Below are 4701 nucleotides of genomic sequence, written 5' to 3' on the forward strand. Positions count from 1 at the left end.
TTGCCTAAGGCTTACTCAGTAAATTTGGTGATGTAGCTAAATTCATCACCAAATTTGGCTGCCACTCAGTCTCTAAATCGCTTGCCTGGTGTCCTCTCCACCCTCACCCCCACCCCTACCCCAGCCGTGCCCCAGGCACTATCCATAGATGAAAAGAGACAGCCATCCTCAGCACCCTCCAGACCAGAGCAAGCTGAGAACAGTTGATGCCTCCCCAGAGCTCCTGACACAACTCCAGTGCTGTGGAGGAGGCCCATCCCACAGAGCTGCTGCAAGAAGAAGATGCTGGGAGCTGAGCTGCTCCCTGGCAATCGCCTCCAGGCCAGCTCAAGCCATGCTAAGGGATGGGGGTCATAGGGACAAAAGGGCATTGTGTGTGAGAGAGGGAGTGGGGAGGGAGTGTGGGGAGGAATGCACTGGCAATTTCTTCCTCTCCCAAAGCTTTCCTCGCCCAGCTGTCTCGTGGCAAAGGAAGGACCCTCCCTGGAGGGGCTGGCAGCCCACCATGGATGCCTGGAGACTGGAGCTGATTGATTGTGTTATTAGATTTCCTCCAAAGGACAGAGGGCTTCATTTAGCTGGCATTGTGTCACTTGCTACAATGGCCCCTGAGTATATAGACGCTGCCTTATGCCGTTCCCTTTAATTCCCTTCAAATAGGGACATTTAAAAAGAGTCCAATAACATTTTTCTGAAAGGAACCTCCACCTCCTTTTTTTAAAGAACAGAATCATTTGTTTCCAAAAGGGGGCCCTCCAAAAGAAGCTGGAGGAGCAGAAACCATTTTAATAGCATCTTCTCTTTGCTGAATTGTGTCTTCATTTTACACTGCGGCTTTATTCTCTGCCCCTTTGACACAGCCAGCTGCCTTTCACGTTCCAGCTCAGAAACAGGCTGGCTTCAGGCTGTAACAGGCACCAGCTTCCAAAGCCCTTTCTCCAGATGACTCACGTTAGCTTGTGTGAGCCTGTGAGCCCCACACCACAGCTCCCAGACCTTTGTTCCTTTGCAAAGTGCATTTAAGCTCCAAGTACTAAAACAGTGTCTACCTAAGTCTCCTGCCTTACATTGGAGTGAAATAATTAATTACACAGTGGAGTGTCTGGTTCCTATCTTGTTCAGGTTCATCCTGTTATCAACTCAGCAGCTGGAGGAAGTGACATCACGTGCCCAAGCTCGGCTTTGAAGCTGGAGGTGCATACCGAGACACTGTATGTGGTACTGCACTCTGGCCAGGAAACATCACCCTTGGACCATCTGTTAAACTATTTAAAAAAAAAAAAAAAGTTGGGACATCAGTTTCTTAACTAGAGTTTCAAATCCTATTGTTCAAATGGTGAGAAAAGCCTTTTGTGAATTCTGCTCTTAGCCTGGAAGGTTATAAAAGGAGTGGAGATAAGTTCCTGCAAGTGTCTTGAAAATTAAATCCTTTTATAGAAAGCATAAATATATGTGGGGCTAGGTGGGGGGAATGCTCCACTGAGCAGGCTCCCATGTAACTAGTGAAGCAGATCCATTTAATGCTAGTCACCAGGATTTCTTTGCCCGAGTATTCCAAGCCCTGGTCTGGGGCTGCTTTTCTACTCCTATGAAAAAGTGCTTTATCAACTGCTTATCTCAAGTTTTTCTTAGTGAGTAACAGCTCTGGGAACTCTCTGTGTGGATCTGAACAGCATGCAAAATCATTTTACTTTTAAGACAAAAGACATTAGCTTCCTGTAGCTTTCTTAGCCATCTCTACCTCTCTTCCTTTCCCACCCACTTTTCCCTCCCCTCCCCTTCTTCCAACCCCCATGGCACTAAATAAAATGCTTAGAAAATGAAGGCCACAGCTGCCCTTTCTTCCCATTAAAACAATCAAGAATGATGGTGGGTTTAATATATTTGATTAGAGAAACTCCAATTTGGTGCACTTGAATCAGCTGCCTTTGTCTTCAGCTCCCGATGGCCCGATTTCAGTGGAATGTCCTCTGCTGTCCACTGCCAGCTCAGGCTGGGAGAAAATTCAGACGCTGAAAGCATTGGCTTGGCATGCTCAGAAACACGGTATTTATGCTGTAGAAGATGCCAGGCCCACTTCTTCCTAATCAGAGGGAGCGCCACTTCATTAAATCGTGGTCACTTACTGGTGACCCTCATAGTTGTAGCCCTGGGGGGCCTGTGGTACTCTTTAGCAATGTTAATTTTTCATGGATTTTATTGCTTTCCTTCATTGATATTGGCTGTTGAAATTCCAGCCTGAATCCTGTTCAAACAACCCAGGAGATTCTGGTACCCAACTTGCACAGAGGAAGTTCAGAGAATAATAATCACATTTACATATGGAGTCTCTTTCATTCAAAGAACAAATAGAAAACTAATGGAAAATAAGAAAATGTGTCATCATTTCCCCACAAGGTGTTATTAAACAGGTTTGAAATATTGCCTGGGCAGCCCCAAACTTGTAGGGTACTTGAGAAGGAATTGATCTCCTTGGGGGCTGGAGGCTTGGCAAACACAGCTTATTTGCACTTAAAGTTTATAGAGATTTTTAGGAAGGGCTCTCTTGAAATATTCTAAATAAATGTATGCTCCAAGAATAAGTACAAGAATGAATTCAGGATAAGAGTTTAAATTCCTATCAAAGACATATTGAAATGCTACAGAGTTTGTAGGGGTTTATTTGAATATATTTTAATCCCTACCATGGCCAAAGTCAGAGATTGGAGTTAGATGGATGAGGTCACAAAGACTGCTAAACTCATTTTCTACACTTTTATGAAGCGAAATCCCCACGTCTCCCAGTATCCACCCCAAGTCAGCCGCCTAGCTGAGCCCCTGCCCAGTGACTTCTCCACCCAGGCTCTGTGGTAGGAAACCAAAGCCCAGGGACACAGCCAAGTTAGAAATAGCATTCAGGCTTTTGGGTCCCAGTGTCCATGCCCAGTCTGTGAGTTGGCCTGTCAACAACATGGACAAGGGACATGCTGGGTTCTGCCAGGCTCAGGAAGAGTGGCCCGGGAAGGAGGGCTTCCCGTCCTCCACAGCCCTGGCAGTGAGCATCTCGCCATCACCTCAGGGGTGGGTGGGTGGGGGCTGGATGTCACTCAGAGACCAGTGTGGTCCCCATCAGCTTTGCAGGCGCTGCAAGCCCAAGTCCTCAGAGGAGACCTGGTTACAGTCTGTCTCCACACTCAAAGGCACTCTGGTCGTGGGGCAAGAAGAATGAGCACAGCCTTCTGGGAGGGACGGTTTCCCAAGAGCAGCACCCACACACAGGGAAGGACTCTGAGAGAAGGTGCCGAGCCTGGCGGTGTGAATGAGCTCCATGCTTCTCCTTGGGAGAAACGAAAGCCTTTCTAGACACTGAGGGAGCAGAGTACAGGCAGCTAAGGCCCACACGGCCCCCCAAGGTGCATCAGATAACTTTAGTTACAAAAATACAACAAAGAGCTGGCTGCATTTTACCTCCCCTTCCACTGTAAAAGTCGAGATTTAAGATTCCTGTTGTATAAGAATTAATATGAAAAGAATTTTGTATCCTATTATGGCATTGTGTTATAATAATGGAATGCTCTCCCCGCCCAATCTGGCTTACTGTCCCCTAGATCTTGCCAATGATTATTCAGTTCCACAGTGTGTGAGTGTTGCTGTGGGGACAGCCTCCTGAGCCTGAAAGAAAGAGGCCATGAATGCTTCAAGCTGGAAAACGGCATAGTCAGCCCTCCGCCCCGGGCACCCCTATCTACGCACACTCAGACACACACACGGGGACACACACACTTCACCCAGCGGTTTTACTATCTTCCAAGCTAACCTGGACTTGCATGGGAAGTTTAATACTTGGACAACTGCAGCTGTATGAGCAGCTCATTGTCTCTGACGTGACACACAATGGGTTCCAGAAAAGGAAAACAAAATACTCTTTAAACTGTGCTGCATTCTGTTTGGAAATCGAGAGTCCAGGCAAAGGGTTTTCCTTGACAAACCAGAACAGGGGTGTTGTTGCTGCACTTTAATTTTGCTTGGTAACTGGATCTTGTTCCCCTGAGCATAAAGATTTAACAGAGTTTCTCCAGAATTTACCAATTCAGAGAGTTCTGAACAGCTAAGTAGGGGTGGGCAGGGGAAAATGTGTTTTTAACTCATCACATGTCCGCAGGATTCTTAAGGAGAAAACGGCGACCGGTTCTTTTCCATGTCCCCCGGAACAAAGCAAGGAGAAATGAACTTCAGCTGCAGCAGGTGAGATTCAAGTGAGACATGAGAAAAGTTTTCCAGCCTGAGGAATGTTGACTAGAATGTATCACTGAGTGAGGATGCTGAAACACTGCGGAAGATCCATGGGTCTGGCTAATTACCGCGTAGTAAGGGGTGGAACCCTTGGATTCTACGGAAGCTCCTGGCTGGTTAGGTGCTGATAATGGTGTGTTGTTTCATTTTGTTTCAAGATTTCTAGTTGTTAGGCTCCCATTGTCACATATTTCCCTCAAATCAACTCCCTCTGAATCACCCTATTTGGAGGGAGACACTATTCTCCATTTCCGCTCGGCCACTTCCAGCCTCACCCGCTCTTTATAATCTTCAGTGAGGAAATGCCTCTCACAGTCACTCTTCCTTCCCTACCATGGCACCGAACCACAGATTCCCAGCATTGAACAATGGCCATGGAAGATGTATCTGGTTGAGTTTGTTGTTTGTGTTTTTTTTCTTTTCCTTTTT

The 4701-nt window shown here is 46.7% G+C and overlaps 1 protein-coding gene across 1 annotated transcript in view; it reads right to left on the reverse strand.

The window, feature by feature from the left end:
* LOC124903162 (uncharacterized) overlaps window positions 1–4701 on the reverse strand; it is a 138590-nt gene that overhangs the window by 110704 nt on the left and 23185 nt on the right. The window lies entirely within an intron of this gene.

Source organism: Homo sapiens, chromosome 13 (genome assembly GCF_000001405.40).
Source record: "Homo sapiens chromosome 13, GRCh38.p14 Primary Assembly".
Lineage (NCBI taxonomy): Eukaryota > Metazoa > Chordata > Mammalia > Primates > Hominidae > Homo > Homo sapiens.